Here is an 18,687-nt window from a genome sequence, read left to right as displayed (position 1 = left end):
GCTGGGACTACAGGCGCCCCCCACCACGCCCGGCTAATTTTTTGTATTTTTTTTTTTAGTAGAGATGGGGTTTCACCGTGTTAACCAGCATGCTCTCAATCTCCTGACCTCGTGATCCGCCTACCTCGGCCTCCCAAAGGGCTGGGATTACAGGCGTGAGCCACCTAGCCCGGCCCAAAACTTAGACTTCTATTTAAACGTTTTCTTTGGATTTCCAACTTAAAATTTTGTCTTTATCAAAAATTAGTAATGATGGTAAACGTGATCTATGGTGCTTATTTTTTATTTAACAAACACTTGGATAGCATTTACTATGTGGCAAGCACTATTCTAATCTCTTTGTAAATATTTGCTTTATAAATCTTCATGAAAATCCTGTAAGGTAGATACTACTACCCCCACTTTACAGCTGAGGAAATGGAGGCACACAAAGATTGAGTAACTGGCCTATGCACACATAACCAGTAAGTGTGGAACCAAGATGCTAACCAAGAAAGCTGGGCTTCAAGTATGTGCTCTTAACCCATTTGGTAATTGGACATTAAAAAACAAAACAGACTTTAAAAAATGTATCTTTATTGAATTTCAGTTGCATATTAAGGTCTACTTTAGGTAAGAGGCATTTTGTTGTAGTTCTTGCTTTTCAATTCTGAAAATAAAGAGAAAAAATTCAGAAAAAAAATATTTAAACTCATTTAAGACCACTGCTTTTCCAGTTTAAATGTTGCCTAGCAGAAATTTATAATATGTATTTTCCTTCATTGATAATTTCTAGATGACTTTGGGGAATACCGTTATAGTACCACACACTGTCTTTAATGACATAAAGTTGGGGGATATTTATTCCCCCGCAAAATCATGTTGTTTGTTTAACTAAAAGAAGAGCATTAAAAAAATCTCCAACTAGCCCATTCTTTGATTCTAGGAAAATTACTCTTCTGACTCAAAAATTAGAATGCGATAATAACTGAGACCCTCTAAAATGCCAACTTCTGTTTTATTGGTCTTTGTGCTAGGACACTTAGACCCAGGGGTGATGGTCAAAATAAATAATGATTAGTAGAGCCTTAGGGCCTCAAGGGACAAGGCCACAGGTCTTTCGAGCTTGGGGAGGTCTGGGAGGGTTCCTGGTGTGTCAAGGTTAACCCCTGAGTTGCTACATTGTAGGGAGGTCTGTGGTTTCTGGGGCAAGGAATAAGATGACTAGACAAGAGGGGTGGTAGCTGGGGAGTAGAAACCACCTTTGCAAAAATTATATCACTGAGAAAATTTTAACAGTAAGCTGAGTAATTCATCCTCCATCTTGCCTTTCCCTTAATTATTCCTGGGTTATTGAGTTGTGAAAGAAAATCAATAGTGGAGCCCCCAAATCACTAAGCTAAAGGGAAAAGTGAAGCTTGGAACTGCTTAGGGCCAACCTGCCTCCCATTCTATTCAAACTCACACCTCTGCTCACTGACATATCTGATCGCCTCCTTTGGAGAGGCTAGTCAGAAACTCAAAATAATGCAACCATTTGTCTCTTATCTACCTATGACCTGGAAAGCCCCGTCCCTGGTTCCAGTATTCCTGCCTTTGCTTTGAGTTGTCCCGTCTTTCCAGACAGAACCAATGTTCATCTTGCATATGTTGATTGATGTCTCATGTGTCCCTAGAATGTATAAAACCCAACTGTGCTCTGACCACCTTGGGCACATGTCATCAGGACCTCCTGAGGCTGTGTCATGGGGTTGTGTTATCAACCTTGGCAAAATAAACTGTAAATTCACTGAGACCTGTCTCAAATTTTTGGGGTTCACATTTTGGTAACCACAGAGGGATTCTGAGTGGAGATGCCCCTGACCTTTGGCAAACCTCTTATCAGTGCTTGGTACCAGCATGAGCTAATTTTACAGCTCAAACCAATAGGACAATTTGCTGAGGTCTGAGAGCACCCCCTCCAGAGAATCCCTGATTTCCCCAAATTTGGTCAAGATCTAAAGTTTATTTTGCTGTACAACTTCTCTTTTTTGGAGTTTTACTTGCTTCTATCAAGAAAGACAAATTTTCTGTTTCCATGACGTTGGAGTTTGGCTCACTTCCAACAGGGAAAAGGAGTGTTTTTTTTTTTGTTTTGTTTTGTTTTTCCTGCTTCTTGAATGGTAGAGAGCAGTCTATAGCCAGAGACTCGTCCCTAGGTAAGTAACTGAATTGGGGTTTGTCTTGGTTAAAGTTAAGATTAACGACCAACTGGTCTTAATTTCTCCTTACCATTAGAGCACTCAGTTATCATATAAATTGTGCCATTGTTTGTTTTGCCTAACTGTTTTTTGTTGTTGTTGTCTGTTTTTTATTGTTGTTTTGGTCTTTTTCCCATTGGGTTTGATCAACTCTATCCAACTTGATCAGGGTTTGATCAACTCTATCCAACTTGATCAAATCCAAAGGAAAGTTCCAAATTATGGGGAAGAAGGCCTGAGAAGTGGCTAAATTCTAAAAAAAAAAAAAAAAAAAAAAAAAAAAAAAAAGATGGTGTGGTGGGGAGGAAAATGGCCAGCAAAAGGAAAAAGAGGAAGGATTTTTGATTTTGACTACTAAAGGGGCTTTGTTTACATAACACCACCCTTTTTGTTAGGCCAAACTGAAAGCAATGGCTGTCCTCCCACACTGCTAAGGTCCCACCCGATAGCTAAGGTTGTGCCTTTGTTTTTTTTCCTACCAAAACAGCCCTGGGTTTGGTTCCTAAATCAAGCCCTTTCTGGTTTGATACTTGGTACTTCTGAAATAGCAGCAATTTGTCCTAGCTGAAATATAGTAAGGACTAAACTGATTTTTTTATCTTGCCCAAATTCCTATCTAAGGTGTCTGGGGAGTCATGCCCTACAAATCATAAATTCTCATCAGAAGGGTTTTATTTAAGCCAATATATCATGAGTTATTTTCCAACTTGACTCTGACATAGCATTATGAGACAAGGAAGAAAAGCAAAATTATTTTACCCTAAAACATGTTTCTTTGCCATATCTTGAAGTGGCCCTGCAAAGCTGTTCTTTGTAGGGGAGAATTTGCATCTTTAAAGAATCTCTGTTAACATAGCTAGATCTTTTTCTTCCAGATCCTCCCAATCCTAAAGCGATTAACTAAGATCTGAATAGGAAACATTTTCATCTATTGTCTTTAAGGGCCGCCACTATTAAGACTTCAAAAGAACTTTGGTCTCCACAATCTTTATCTTAATCCGAACATTCCCTTTCTATGAATCCCGTGTCTTTAGGCAAACTCAACCAATTGTCAACCAGAAAATGTTTAAATTTGCCTACAGCCTGGAAGCCCCCCACACCCACCTGGTTTTAAATTGTCCCACCTTTCTGGACCAAACCAATATATTTCTTAAATGTATTTAATTGATGTCTTGTGCCTCTCTAAAACGTGTAAAACCAAGCCTCACCCTGACCACCTTGGGCACACGTTCTCAGGACCTCCTGAGGGCTGTGTCATGCGCCATGATCAGTCATATTTGGCTCAGAATAAAGCTCTTCAAATATTTTAGAGTTCAACTCTTTTCACTGACAATAGTAATGAGATTTTAAAAGATTTTTTTAAAAAAGGAACTCAATGGTTAAAAGTCAGCTTAATTAAAAGCTAACATCCAAGATGTGTGTGTGTGTGTGTGTATGTGTGCATGTGTGTGCATGTGTGCATGTGTGTATTTAAAAGACCTTCATGTTTTGTTTTGTTTTTTTTCTCTCCCAGGACCTTGTCTTTTTTTTTTTTAGTAATTTTTTTTCTTCTTAGTTGACTGAATTCTGTGTTCTTCATTAATATCTATTGCAACTGAGAGACACGACTAGCTGGATTTCCTAGGCCGACTAAGGAATCCCCAAGCCTAGCTGGGAAAGTGACCGCTTCCACCTTTAAACATGGGACTTGCAACTTAGCTCACACCCGACCAATCAGATAGTAAGGAGAGCTCACTAAAATGCTAATTAGGCAAAAACAGGAGGTAAAGAAATAGCCATCTGCTGCCTGAGAGCACAGCAGGAGGGACAATGATCAGGATATAAACCCAGGCATTCGAGCCAGCAATGGCAACCCCCTTTGGGTCCCCTCCCTTTGTACGGGAGCTCTGTTTTCACTGTGTTTCACTCTATTAAATCTTGCAACTGCACTCTTCTGGTCCATGTTTGTTACAGCTCGAGCTGAGCTTTCGCTTGCCGTCCACCACTGCCCACCACTGTCGTTTGCTGCCATCGCAGACCTGCTGCTGACTTCCATCCCTCTGGATCCGGCAAGGTGTGTGCTGTGCTCCTGATCCAGCAAGGTGCCCATTGCCAGTCCCGATTGGGCTAAAGGCTTGCCATTGTTCCTGCACGGCTAAGTGCCTGGGTTCATCCTAATCGAGCTGAACACTAGTCACTGGGTTCTACGGTTCTCTTCCATGACCCACGGCTTCTAATAGAGCTATAACACTCACCACATGGCCTAAGATTCCATTCCTTGGAATCCGTGAGGCCAAGAACCCCAGGTCAGAGAACACGAGGCTTGCCACCATCTTGGAAGCGACCCACCACCATCTTGGAAGTGGCTCGCCACCATCTTGGGAGCTCTGTGAGCAAGGACCCCTGGTAACACAACCGAGGCTTCTCTGGGGTTTTTAAGGAAGAGTATAGTTTAGGCACTTAGAAATGTCTTTGTTTTTAAAGTGCACTGTAAAAGCATCATGTGGTCTAACCTTAAAATAATTCTCTTTTTGAAGACCCAGGATTCAGTGTGGGCTCTGCCCAGAGCTTAGAGATCCAGTTAAAAAATAAATAGTCCCTATCTAAATAAAATTGGTCTCCTTATACAATCCTATGATAGATTTCTATAATTTTATGTTTGATTTGGCATCCATCATCAATCTCCCTCTAGCAGTACCAGACTTTTTCTTTATATACCTTATGATGTAAATTTTGCTATTTGATTTTCACCTGTGTTGTTTCATTTAATATCTAAATTTATGGCTATTTAGCTGACAACTGCCTAGTGTTGTGAAACAGGTTATCAAATATCTGAAAGTCTAAGATAGAAAAAAAAAGGTCTTTATGAATCTATAAGATGTACTTCTATCGGCATGCCTAATATGTCTATGTATTTGTGTGTTGAGTACATAATGTTTCACTACTGAAAATATATAAAAGAGCTCTAATTAATTGGCTTAAAGAAAAATAGAAGCACTTAAATCAAATACCTTCTTAAAAAAAAGGGAAGACTAGTCGAATGCTTTTTCTTTTTCTTTTTTTGAGATGGAGCTTCGCTCCTGTCGCCCAGGCTGGAGTGCAATGGCATGATCTTGGCTGAATACAACCTCTGTCTCTTGGGTTTAAGCAATTCTCCTGCCTCAGCCTCCCATGTAGTTGGCATTACAGGCAAGCACCACCACACATGGCTAATTTTTGTATTTTTAGTAGAGATGGGGTTTTGCCATGTTGGTCAGGGTGGTCTTGAATTCCTGACCTCAGGTGATCTGCCCACCTTGGCCTCCCAAAGTGCTGAGACTATAGCATGAGCCACTGTGCGTGGCTGTCCAATGCTTTTTCAAGTTTACATGATTTAAGTAAAGTCCTTTTTTTTTTTTTTTTTGAGACAGACTCTGGCTCTGTTGCCCAGGCTGGAGTGCAGTGGCATGATATCAGCTCACTGCAACCTCTGCTTCCCGGGTTCAAGTGATTCTCCTGCCTCAGCTTCGGAGTAGCTGGGATTACAGGTGCACAGCACCACCCTCGGCTAATTTTTCGTATTTCTGGTAGAGATGGGGTTTCACCATGTTAGCCAGGCTGGTCTCGATCTCCTGACCTCATGATCCACCCACCTAGGCCTCCCAAAGTGCTGGGATTACAGGTGTGAGCCACTGTGCCCAGCTGTAAAATCTTTACTAAATAAGCTAGCTTTAAAATTACTGATAAAGTAATATTAGAAATGTCTTAAGCATTGCCAGCATACATTTTTGTTTGCATTTATTAATCAAGCAATTTCATACTTATCCCTGCCAAATACTATAAGGTGTCAAAATTTGGCATAGGGGTTACAAACCTATAAACCCAGCCCAAGATTGCTTTCATAATCTTTAATAAATAAGACATTGCTATTGGTTTAATGAAAACAGCTATATTTTGAATTATTTAGTAAAATTACCATAACTTCTGATATTGTGGCATTAGGCAGTGTAATCCACAGGCAGCAAGGAAGTTTGTTTGGGGGAAAGGACTATTACTGTCTTTGTTTCAAAGCTAAAATATAAATTAAATTCCTTCTAAAGTTTGGGAATAAGCAAGGACAGCTTGGAGGTTAGAAGCAAGATGGAGTCAGTTAGGTCCTGTCTTTTTCACTGTCTCAGAATTTTGCAAAGGTGAGTTTCATAACTTTAATTGATGACTATCACAGTTTTCATAAATAATGTAGGTAAATGAATAAAATAAAATAGACAGATGTAATGGGATAAATACTTGTAGGCAAACTTGTCATAATTTAGAATCTAAAGTTATACTAAAATATTTCATTATTTAGGTATTTTCCAATAAAAATATATTGTAGGAAAACATTCTTTCTAGAAAAAAGTGTCCTTTTAAAAAAGGTGGACAATTTTTTTCTAATTCAAAGCTTAAAGGTTGTGTACAAAACAAGGTAAGAGGAGCCAGGAAATAAGAGAGATGTAAAGAAACTTATAGAAATAAAGAGGTATATTTTGGTAAGAAAGCTTAAAGAGAAATAATTTTATATGAGAAAGAATATTACATGGTAAATTTAGACCTAGAATAAAATGACTGGTTGTTTAAGAAAGGGATGTTCAGGACAAACCAGAAAGTCCAAGCATGTCATGAATGGTCTGGGTAAGTCACAATGAAAGAATTTATTTAAAAAAAACCCCAAAACTTATATGATCAAGTTGTCTGTAGTTAAAGGGAAATTACAATGGTCTTTCCAGAGACTTGGTTTGATGTAAAAAAACCCAAAAACATTTATATAGTAAAGAATTGATTAGAACAATAAAAGTTCCTTAGGGTATTGATTTACTCTTAATAAATTATAAGAGATTTTATTTATATCTTAACCCAAAGTTAAACTTCTATTGCATCTTGCTGTTTTTGGTTTTCTCTCCCCTTTTAAAAGGAGTGAAATAATAATGGTTTCCTTCAACTCATATAAGTTTTTGTTTCCTCAACTTCTGTTTGTTGTGGCCTGATGCTAACAATATTCTTAAAGATCTGAAGGAAATGTTTTCTTCCAACATAATGTTCTGTACACTGCAGAAGGGTTTTTCTTTTGCCTTTTGGTAACTGGCCTAACAGATTTTAGGTTTTATAAAAATAATTCCTATGCCATTATTATTAAGTTTTGATTTGCTTAGGAAAAAAACTGAGATTAAATTTTTTTTTTTAAGTTAAGGTTATTACATCCATGTATCTTTCTGTATGTGATTTTAAAGTACTTGTGACATTAAGTTACAGGGCTTTGACTCCTGGGTCTAAAAAGGACACCAAGTCCTGCTAAGTCTTAAAACACCGACAGCAATTAAAACCTCATCTTCAGGCCCTCTTGATTGGCATCAGAATATGCCAATCAAAATAAACTGCATTCCTGAGACACAAGGTCAGAAGTTAAAGCCATTCAACGCCTCAAATTCCAGGGACTATTGTGGAAGCGGTGGGCATGTGGGATTGTAAGGGCTGATTTTAAGAGATAAAATAAGTTCAATTTCTCTATAAATTAACCAGTAATGTCAAAGACACTCTTATTCAAGACCAGCATATGGACCGCTGTGTCAGATTAACAAGATTTTCTTGAAGCATTAACCAACTCCTTAATAAAGGTTATAAAGGTTATAAAAGGCTTATGGAAGTTAAATTTTATGACCAATATTAAGATTTTATAGATTATTTATAAAATTTTGAAAAACAAATTTATTTGGCTTCATGCTGTTTTTATTAGAGCTAATTGTTTAGAAAGTTAAGTGTCCTCTCTTAAAGAATTAAGGTTTTCACTTTTTTTTTTTCAAACCCTTGAGTTATCACTCTGGTTAAATGAATGACTTATTTTACAATAACCTGTAATCCTATTTTGTGATATCAAGTGTAAACCTTTGATATTTGACAAACTTTCCAAAATCAAAATTATAAATTATGTCTTTTTTTTGGCTGGGCACATACCTGTAATTCAAGCATTTTGGGAGGCCAAGGAGGGAGGATCGTTTGAGGTCAAGAGTTTGAGACCAGCCTGGCCAACATGGTGAAACTCTGTCTCTACCAAAAAATACAAAAATTAGCTGGGCATGGTGGCACACACCTGTAATCACAACTACTGGGGAGGCTGAGGCAGGAGAATCACTTGAACCCAGGAGATGGAGGTTGCAGTGAGCTGAGATCATGCCACTGCACTCCAGCCTGGGTGACAGAGCGAGACTCTGTCTCAAAAAAAAATTATGTCTTTTTTTGAACTAATTAATCCTTTAAGATATTATTAATAGGTTCCCTAATGTCAAAAAATGACATATTTGGTTATTTGGTATAAAAATTATACAGGAAACACCATCAAATAAGAAATGGTGTTTGGTTTTCTTTGGGCTGTATTTGTATAAAAATGTTATTGGTATGTATTCTAAAATTATGGGAAACTTCTATAATTCTGATACGACTTAGTGTACATTATCAGTAATAATTATAATTGTTATGTTAAATTATTGTGTGCAACAGAGGTAACAAATTTCCTCATCAATTGTGTCTTTGACTATGGCTGCCCTAAAACTTTTTGTCATCCACAGACAATTATTGTCTTTTTTTGGTTCTCTTTAGAAGGTAGTTTTATAAAACTCTAACAGGTGCTCTTGAACACAGGTTTCTGATAACATTGGAGATTGTGACATCAGAATAGATGAAAAACTTTCAGGACTCATGGAGAGATAAAATATTCATGAATATCAAGCAGAATAGGAATTAACTTCATGGATTAAACTAATAGAAGTCTGAAGTAATCTGTTTAACTTTTTGCCTAAAATGGTGCTGATTCTTTTGTTTTTCAAAGTCAAGAAAATGTTTAAGCTATTTACAGATTCTAACAATTGAGTAAGTATACTCCTATGAATAAAATTTGGAGCATATTTCTTTCTCTGTACCTGATTTCTACAGAATTTGGAAACTATTTGTGAGTATTCTTAACTTACGACAATACAGTTATTTGCATAAATGCAATAAGAATCTGTTTTCATTTGTAACAGGACACAATTGGAGAAACTAGTTACTTTACCGAGGCTCTTTACTGGGATGGTGTGCTTTGCTTTAAGGAATCAAACTTGGCTTATGGAATCAATACAAGCCCCTTGGGAAAACTGGCCTCATACTTTTGTCTATACAGTCCCTGTACAGGGTTCCTGACCTGTGGTAAGTAAAGAATGTCACTTTCTGACAGGTCCAGGAGCCCCAGGTTTATCTTGGAACCTCAACAGGAAAGGAATTTACCCAACTCATAGGTATTTGATGGTACAAATCCATGGCTGGGTTTGACTTTAAAAAAGTCTTATGTGAGATTTCTTCTATGGAATAAAGTACCATCAAAGCCAATTTAAAAGCCTATGTAAAAAAATTATTTTTGTTGCACTGTAAACAAATAATCAGGCCAAGTATAATAAAGCAAGTCAGGGCCGGGCGTGGTGGCTCACACCTGTAATCCCAGCACTTTGGAAGTCCAAGGTGGATGGATCATGAGTTCAGGAGTTCGAGACCAGCCTGGCCAAGATGGAGAAACCCCATCTCTACTAAAAATACAAAAATTAGCCAGGCGTGGTGGCACATGCCTGTAATCCCAGCTACTCAGGAGGCCGAGGCAGGATAATTGCTTGAACCTCGGAGGCGGAGGTTGCAGTGAGCTGAGATCACACCTCTGCACTCCATCCTGGCAACAAGAGCAAGACTCCATCTCAAATAAATAAATAAATAAATAAATAAATAATAAAAAAGCAAATCAGTCCAACCACGATTTGTCTTTAGTAAAAATGGGAAACTGGAGAGGAAAAATTATGTTTCAAAAACTATAGTACACCTGTTCTTAGATTCCAGTCTTGCCTAATGTTTTTCAACTTTTATTATTTTCTACAGTTTGGACTGAGTTCTAATTTTTCTTGGCTACAAGCCTTCAAAATATTGCTTTCAGTTTCTTTTCCTTCTTTACCCCCACCCCCACTCCCCCATTTATCCTAATTTGGAGTCACTGAAAACTAAGCTGTGCATTCATAAAGCCCTGTGAACAGAAGCTAGACAACTTAAACTTCAGAAGAAAATAACAACAACCTATTTACATACATAAGCCACTTACTGCCTGTCTATTGATATGTGGACTTCAGAGTAGTGTGGCCTATATGCATTTTCCAGGATTGTTCCTTTGTTTGTTCTTGTTTTTCTCCCTTCCTCCTCCTATTTTCTCTTTATAGGACATGAGACTTTACAGCCTGCTAAAAGTGAGCCTTCCTAAATAACTTGGGACCTACCCATCTAGGAATAAACCATCCTAGCCATGAGAGATCGGACAAAACCTCAGACTAGAGACGCATTTTCTTCTAAAATGCTTTCTCCAAAGGATTTTTTAAAAGAAAAGTGTAGGGTCCAGCCCCACAGGGTCGGTGGGTTTTCTCCTCGTGTGCAGAGATGAGAGAGTGTAGAAATAAAGGCACAAGACAAAGAGATTAAAAAAAGACAGCTGGGCCTGGGGGACCACTACCACAAAGACGCGGAGACCGGTAGTGGCCCTGAATGCCAGGCTGCGCTGATATTTATTGGATACAAGACAAAGGGGCAGGGTAAGGAGTGTGAGCCATCTCCAATGATAGGTAAGGCCACATGGGTCACGTGTCCACTGGACAGGGGGCCCTTTCCTGCCTGGCAGCTGAGGCAGAGAGAGAGAGGAGAAAGAGAGAAACAGCTTACATTATTATTTCTGCTTCTCAGAGACTTAGTACTTTCACTAATTTGCTACTGCTAACTAAACGGCAGAGCCAGGTGTACAAGATGGAACATGAAGGCGGACTAGAAGCATGACCACTGAAGCACAGCATCACAGAGAGATGGTTAGGCCTCTGGATAACTGCGGGCGGGCCTGACTAATGTCAGGCCTTCCACAAGAGGTGGAGGATAGAGTCTTTTCTAAACTCCCCTGGGGAAAGGGAGACTCCCTTTCCTGGTCTGCTAAGTAGCAGGTGTTTTTCCTTGACACTAATGCTACCACTAGACCACGGTCCACTTGGCAAAGGGCATCTTCCCAGATGCTGGCATTACTGCTAGACCAAGGAGCCCTCTGGTGGCCCTGTCTGGGCATAACAGAAGGTTCACACTCTTGTCTTCTGGTCACTTCTCCCAATGTCTCCTCAGCTCCTATCTCTGTATGGCCTGGTTTTTCCTAGGTTATGATTATAGAGCGAGGGTTGTTATAATATTGGAATAAAGAGTAATTGCTACAAACTAATGATTAATAATATTCATATATAATCATATCTAAGATCTATATCTGGTATAACTATTCTTATTTTATATTTTATTATACTGGAACAGCTCGTGTCCTTGGTCTCTTGCCTCGGCACCTGGGTGACTTGCTGCCCACAGAAAAGGGGGGAAAATGTGAAAGGAAAATATATCTTGGGGCTCCTAAGTCACTAAGCTAAAGAAAAAAGTTAAGTTGGTAACTGCTTAGGGCCAAACTGCCTCCCATTCTATTCAAAGTCAGCCCTCTGCTCACTGGGATAAATGCATATCTGATTGCCTCCTTTGGAGAGGTTAATCAGAAACTCAAAATAATGCAACTATTTGTCTCTTATCTACCTATGACCTGAAAGCCCCCTCCCTGCTTCCAATCTTCCTGCTTTTGCTTTGAGTTATCCTGCCTTTCCAGACAGAACCAGTGTTCACCTTACATATGTTGATTGATGTCTCATGTGTCCCTAGAATGTATAAAACCCAGTGATGCTCTGACCACCTTGGGCACATGTCATCAGGACCTCCTGAGGCTGTGTCATGGGGTTGTGTTCTCAACCTTGGCAAAATAAATTTTGTAAATTAACTGAGACATGTCTCAGATTTTCAGGGTTCACAGGACCAAGCTAACTTTGAAAGATATTTAGGCTATGGTTTAAATGATAATAAGTCTTATCCTAAAACTCATTCACTTTTATAAAGCTAATGGGAGGCCATCAGGCTGTGGGGAGGAGGGGAGCCTGAGTCCTGCTAAGGTGCAGACATAAACCATTGCCAGCCATTATTCCGGAGGTTATAAGATATGAGCTTCCCCAATTACTCCTGCAAATAACATCAATATTGTAGAACCTAACACTGGCCTTTTGAGATATCTTTTCAGGGTTTTTTGTTTTTGTTTTTTTTTTTTTTTTGCATGTCTGACACCCACGGCTCCACCTGGACCAGCCAACCCAGCTCCTATGGTCCCACCCAGAAGCAATTCAGCCCACAGAAGGGCAGCTTTGACGCCTATTTCATCTCCACCCCAGTCAATCAACAGCAAGCACCTATTACCTGGCCACCCCCTCCCTTCCCCCAAACTGCCTTTGAAAAACCCCTGACCTAAGACCTTTGGAGGAGATCATTTGAGTACAAACTCCATTTCCCATGTGGCATGACTAGTCTTGTATCTATTAAACTTTCTCTACTACAGTGTTGTGGTCTGTCTTTACAGAGTGGGGCTTGAGGCTTTTTGCAAAAATGTTGCTGTCCAGCCTAGTACTGTACCTAGCTTATACTTGGTAATCTTTTTCTCAATCAGTCTAGTTAGGAGGTTTTCAATTTTATGAATCTTTATAAGAACTAGCTCTTACCTTTATTGATTTTCCTTACCTATTTTTAAATTTTAATTGATATCTACTCTTATTTTTATTACCTCCTTCCTTCTACTTGGAGTTTAATTTGCTATCCTTTTTCCAGTTTCTAAGGTGAAAGTTTAGACTTTGATTTTAAACCTTTATTCTCTTTCACTACAAATGTTTAAAGCTAACATTTGCCTCCAAATACTGCTTTAGCTCCATCCCACAAATTTTGATATATTGTGTTTATTAATAATGTTTATTATCATTTAGTTCAAAATATTTTAAAGTTTTCTTTGCAATTTCTTCTTTGACCCATGGGTTATGAAGGAATGTGTTCCTTGATTTCCAGATAACTGCAGCTTTTCCAGATATCCTTCTGTTATTGGTTATCAGTTTAATCCTCTTTTGGACACAGAGCATATTCTGAACAATAATAGTTCTTTGAAATGTGTTGAGATTTGGTTTATGGCCCAGCATATGATCTGTCTTGGTGGATGTTCCAAGTTAAATAGAAAAGAATGTGTATTCTGCAGTTGCTGGGTGTAGTGTTTTAGAAATGTCAATTGGGTTAAGTTGCTTGCTCTAAATGTAGTTTATTGCCAATTTTTAAATTTGTTTAACTTGGTCATTAGATACAAACACAAGTAGGATTATTATGTCTCCTTAATTAATAGACAATTTTATCATTATTAAATGTCCCTGTTTATTCTGGTAATACTTTCTGATTTGGAATTTACTTTGTCTGATATTAATATAGCTAAATCAGCTGTGTTATTAGCATTTTTTTAAACAGAGTCTTGCTCTGTCACCCAGGCTGGAGTGCAGTGGTGCAATTTTGGCTCACTGCAACCTCCACCTCCCAGATTCAAGTGATTCTCTTACCTCAGCCTCCCAAGTAGCTGGGATTACAGGTGCATGCCACCACACCTGGCTAATTTTTGTATGTTTAGTAGAGATGGGGTTTCAACATGTTGGTGAACAGGCTGGTCTCGAACTCCTGACCTCAAGAGATCCACCTGCTTTGGCCTTTCAAAGTGCTGGGATTACAGGCCTGAGCCACCGTGCCCAGCCTATTAACATTTATTATTATGACATGCCTTTTTTTTCCCTTTACATCTAACCTATCTGTGTCTTTTTATTTAAAGCTTATTTCTCATAAATGACATTTAGTTGCATTTTACTTTTGTAACCAATCTGAAAATCTTTGCTTTTAATTAGCCTTTTAGTCTGAGTACATATTTTATAAAAATTGATGTGGTTAGATTCAAGGCTAAAGATTGGTACCTTTGATATTTCCTATAATGTAGATTTGCTGGCAATAAGTTCTCCCAGTTTTTGTTTGTTTGAAAAAGATGTATTTTGCCTTTATTTTCAAAAGCTATTTTCCCTAGGTACAAAAGTATAAATTAACAGTATTTCTTTACTTTCAGCACATTAAAAATACTACTTTGTTATATTCTAAGCTTACATTGTTTCTCATTTACAAGTCTGTGATTATCCTTCCCACCCCCCCGCTTCCCCCACTGTATGTAATGTGCCTACTTTCTCCCTCTGGCTGTTTAATTTTTTTAAAAAATCACTTATTGTTGCTGGGCACGGTGGCTCACACCTGTGTTCACAGCACTTTGGGAGGCTGAGGTGGGCAGATCACCTGAGGTCGGGAGTTCAAGACCAGCCTAACCAATCTGGAGAAGCCCCGTATCTACTAAAAATACAAAATTAGCTGGGGTGGTGGCACATGCCTGTAATCCCACCTACTTGGGAGGCTGAGGCATGAGAATCGCTTGAAACTGGGAGGCGGAGGTTGCGGTGAGCCGAGATCATGCCATTGCACTCCAGCCTGGGCAACAAGAGCGAAACTCTGTCTCAAAAAAAAAAAACACTTATTGTTAGTAATTGGGCTTTTATTTGCTTTGAAGTGATTTTATTTGTTTTTATTCTGCTTGGGGTTCATTGAAATTCTTGAATATGTAATTTTATACTTTTCATCAAATTTGGAAAATTATTGGACATTATTTCTTCAAATATTTGTTTTTACCTCCTTGCTTCTAGGGTACCAATTACACATGTTGATCCAATTAATATGGTTCCATGAGTTACTAAGATTCCAATGTTTTATCTCTTTTTGCTTTATTTTGGCAGCTTCAATTGCTATGTCTTCACATTCACTGATTTTATCATCTACATTTTCTATTCTACTGAACAGACATCTAATAAATTTTTAATTTCAGATATTTTAATTTCTAGAAGTTCTGTTATTTTTTCCTGTGTTTTAAATTTGTTTGTTGATTATATAAATGATTTATTTTGAATTCTTGAGCATATTTATAATACATATTTTAATGTCCTTGTTTGCTAATCCATTATTATTATTATTAGTTTTGAAATGAAATCTCTCTCTGTCACCAGGCTGGAGAGTGCAGGAGCATGATCTTGGCTCACTACAACCTCTGCCTCCTGGGTTCAAGTGATTCTCCTACCTCAGCCTCCTGGGTAGCCGGGACTACAGGCGAGTGCCACCACACCTGGCTAATTTTTGAAGTTTTAGTAGAGACGGGATTTCACCATTTTGGCCAGGCTGGTTTCAAACTCCTGACCTCAGGTGATCCACCTGCCTCGGCCTCCCAAAGTGCTGTGATTACAGGTGTGAGCTACTGTTCCCAGACATATGCCATGATTTCTGTCACTTCTGGGTATGCAGCTATTGACTGATTTTTTTCCTGATTATGGGTCACATTTTCCTGCTTCTTTATGTGTCTAGTAATTTCTGATTGAATGCCAGACATTATTAGTCCATATTGTGAAGTGTTTGGATTTTATTGCCTCCTTAAAAGAGGGGAAGGAATTTGAATTATTTGCAAATTAGTTTGATCCTTTATGAGCTTCTTTTAAGACTTATATGGCAGATTGAAAGTATCATAGCTCTCTTTTATCTGCAGGGAATATGTTCCAAGACCCCCAGGGGGTGCCTGAAACCATGGACAGTACCAAATTTTATATACACTATGTATTTTTGCCTATGATAAAATTCAATTTATAAATTAGGCATGGAAAGAGATTAACACCTGATAATAAAATTGAACAATTATAACAATATACTTTAAGAAAAGTTATGTGAATGTGGTCTCTCTCTCTTTCTCTCAAAACATCTTATACTATATTCACCTTTTTTGTGATGATATGAGATGATACAATGCCTATGTGATGAGACGAAGGAGGTGAATGACTTGGCATTGTGAAATAGCATCAGGCTACTATTGACCTTCTGATAATATGTCAAACTTATGAATTGTTTATTTTTGGAATTTTGCATTAAATATTTTAAGACCATGCTCAACCACAAGTAAATAAAGTTGTTGAAAGTAAAACCACAAATAAGGGGGTACTGTATCCTTTAACCTAGAGTTAGGTTAGCCCTGCTATTGAAGTGTGGCTTTTCATGTAAGCATTTAAATTTTTTATTTATTTATTTATTTTTGAGATGGAGTCTCGCTCTGTTGCCCAACTGGAGTGCAGCAGTGTGATCTCTGCTCACTGCAACTTCCACCTCTGAGGTTCAAGCGATTCTCTTGCCTCAGCCTCCTGAGTAGCTGGGACTGCAGGCATGTGCCACCTTGCCCAGCTAATTTTTTTTGTATTTTTAGTAGAGACGGGTTTTCACCATGTTGGTCAGGCTGGTCTCGAACTCTTGACCTCAAATGATCTGCCCATCTCAGCCTACCAAAGTGCTGGGATTAAAGGCATGAGCCACTGTGCCAAGTCCATGTAAGCATTATTAATGCCTGAGGTCTTCACTGAATCTCTCCAGTCTACAGGTAGTAACTTGAATATCTCCAAGGTCTGTGTGAGTTTTGGGATTATTTAACTGTTAATACCTTGGAAGTTATTCTTTGTCCAGTCTGTGGAATTTTCATTTATGCATGTCCAGATTAGCATTCCACAAAGACTGGAAAAGACCTCTCTGCAGATTTCTGGTTCTTTCTCTACATTGCTTCCTCTTCTCTAGTACTTTGCTCTGAAAATTCTGGCTACTTCAATCTCCAAGGTCATATTTCTGACTCCTTAGCTAAACAAGACTGCTGGGCTGTGCTTGGTTTATTTTTCTCATGTCACAGATTAAAAATGGTCTTTGGACAGGGTTCAACTCATTTTTCCCCCATTTCTCTAATGCCATACTTCTGTTGTTGTTTTGTGCATTTTGTCCAGTTTGAAGTCAAGCTACTTTTTCATGAGCAAAAACTTAGACTACAGTATACAGATGTTCCTTTACTTATGATGGTTCATCTTATGATTTTTCTACTTTATGGTGGGTGTATTGGGGTATTAAATGCCTTTTCAACTTATGATTATTTCAATTTATGATAGGTTTATTGGGACATAATCACATTTTAAGTCAAGAAGCATCTATTGTTGATTTGTGGGAGCCCACTGCAATGTTTGAATATAATATTTAAAATTCATGATTTATTTGTGAAGCTGTCTCATTTTATAAATTGTGTTGAGACAATGCAAAGTTTGTACAAGTAGGAATTTATAAAAATTACTACAATCTGTAATGACTCAAAGCGTTGTGAAACAGCACTACCACCAAATAATGTAAAATCTTGATTATCACAATATATTTAGTATTTTTCTGAGAAGGCAGAAAAGTAAATTATATATAATACATAATAACTTACATTTATGTATATCTCTATTTTATTACTAATATGAGTACCCCTGACCCATCAACAGACCTAACCAGACATGTACAATAATAATTAAATCCAGTTGTCTTTGACATTTTGCTAGGTTTTAATCATATTAAAATCATTGCTTTATAGATTTTTAATATTTTGGTTATGAAGGTTTGTTTTTCAAGGTGAGGACAAAAACTCATTTTAACAGCTCATTAGTTTGATTTTAAATATTTAGTAATGTAGTACATAGATATCCATTTGTTTTCTTGCCCCAGTTCTGTTAATGTTAGGGGTAGGCCTGTGGAAGAAGTGGCAGCAGCAACAAAAGTTAGGAGGCTTATATCACATAGATAATTTGTCATGTCTGAGAAAGCTAAATTGAAAGCCAGTTTTGGGGAAGGGTAATAAGCAACAATATTTCCACTATGGACTCTGCAAAAGTCTTCAGGTATATTTAAGGCACAACATTATATAGGTTAGCGTGATTTCATATTTACCTAAGTTTTTGTTTTTTTTCAGACAGAATCTCACTCTGTTGCCCAGGCTGGAGTCAAGTGGCACAATCTTGGCTCACTGCAACCTCCACCTCCTGGGTTCAAGTGATTCTCCTGCCTCAGCCTCCTGAGTAGCTGGGGGACTACAGATGTGTGCCAAGCCCAGCTAATTTTTTAAATTTTCGTAGGGATGCAGGTTTCACCATGTTGGCCAGGCTGATCTCAAACTCCTGACCTCAGGTGATCCACTCACCTCGGCCTCCCAAAGTGCTAGGATTACAGGCATGAGTCACTGTGCCCAGCCCCTAAAAGACTTAAAATCTTAAAATTTTCAGGTACAACCATACTCTCTTCCCCAATAATTTTTTTTCCTTACTCTGGATTTCTTTGAGCCCTTTGTATTTGATTATGTTATTTAACCAGAAACTTAATACAATTACAATGAATTATTTAATAATAAGCTCCAGGAACTATCTCACAGGAAAATAATAATAATCTTAATATTTACTGTAATTAAGGACTCAATTTGTGCCAGGCCTGGTGTGAAGAGTTTTATGTCAATCATTTCTATTTACCATACCTTGATTAGAAGAATCTATTCCCATTATGCTAATAAAAAATGGCAACAACAAGGTTCAGGGCAGTTAAATAATTTTCCCAAGGCTACAGTGCTGTCAGAAATTAGCAAACCAGGATGCAAATC

General features: G+C 38.1%; 1 protein-coding gene across 4 annotated transcripts in view, besides 2 other annotated features; it reads left to right on the top strand.

Moving 5' to 3' along the window:
• CNGA1 (cyclic nucleotide gated channel subunit alpha 1) overlaps positions 1 to 18,687 on the top strand; it is an 80,705-nt gene that overhangs the window by 1,616 nt on the left and 60,402 nt on the right. For 2 of the 4 annotated variants that reach the window (XM_011513623.3, NM_001379270.1), the window contains exon 2: positions 4,173 to 4,272. The exons of 1 other annotated variant lie outside the window; for it this stretch is intronic. The gene's annotated coding sequence lies outside the window, so the exon portion shown is untranslated. Of the gene's footprint in view, positions 1 to 2,120; positions 2,178 to 4,172; positions 4,273 to 18,687 lie in introns of those variants that run through there. One more of the 4 variants, NM_000087.5, reaches the window with a different exon arrangement.
• Positions 2,549 to 3,062: an enhancer, noted in NCBI's record as "OCT4-NANOG hESC enhancer chr4:48014021-48014534 (GRCh37/hg19 assembly coordinates)". NCBI's record gives its function as "activates a minimal SCP1, AML or CMV promoter by ChIP-STARR-seq in primed H9 embryonic stem cells {active_cell/tissue: H9 hESC(primed)}" and the evidence as "EXISTENCE:reporter gene assay evidence [ECO:0000049][PMID:30033119]".
• Positions 3,063 to 3,577: an enhancer, noted in NCBI's record as "OCT4-NANOG hESC enhancer chr4:48013506-48014020 (GRCh37/hg19 assembly coordinates)". NCBI's record gives its function as "activates a minimal SCP1, AML or CMV promoter by ChIP-STARR-seq in primed H9 embryonic stem cells {active_cell/tissue: H9 hESC(primed)}" and the evidence as "EXISTENCE:reporter gene assay evidence [ECO:0000049][PMID:30033119]".

This window comes from Homo sapiens, chromosome 4 (genome assembly GCF_000001405.40).
Source record: "Homo sapiens chromosome 4, GRCh38.p14 Primary Assembly".
NCBI classification, from domain to species: Eukaryota; Metazoa; Chordata; class Mammalia; order Primates; family Hominidae; genus Homo; species Homo sapiens.
Note: the sequence above shows the minus strand (reverse complement) of the source record. Positions and strands in the feature narration are given on the sequence as shown.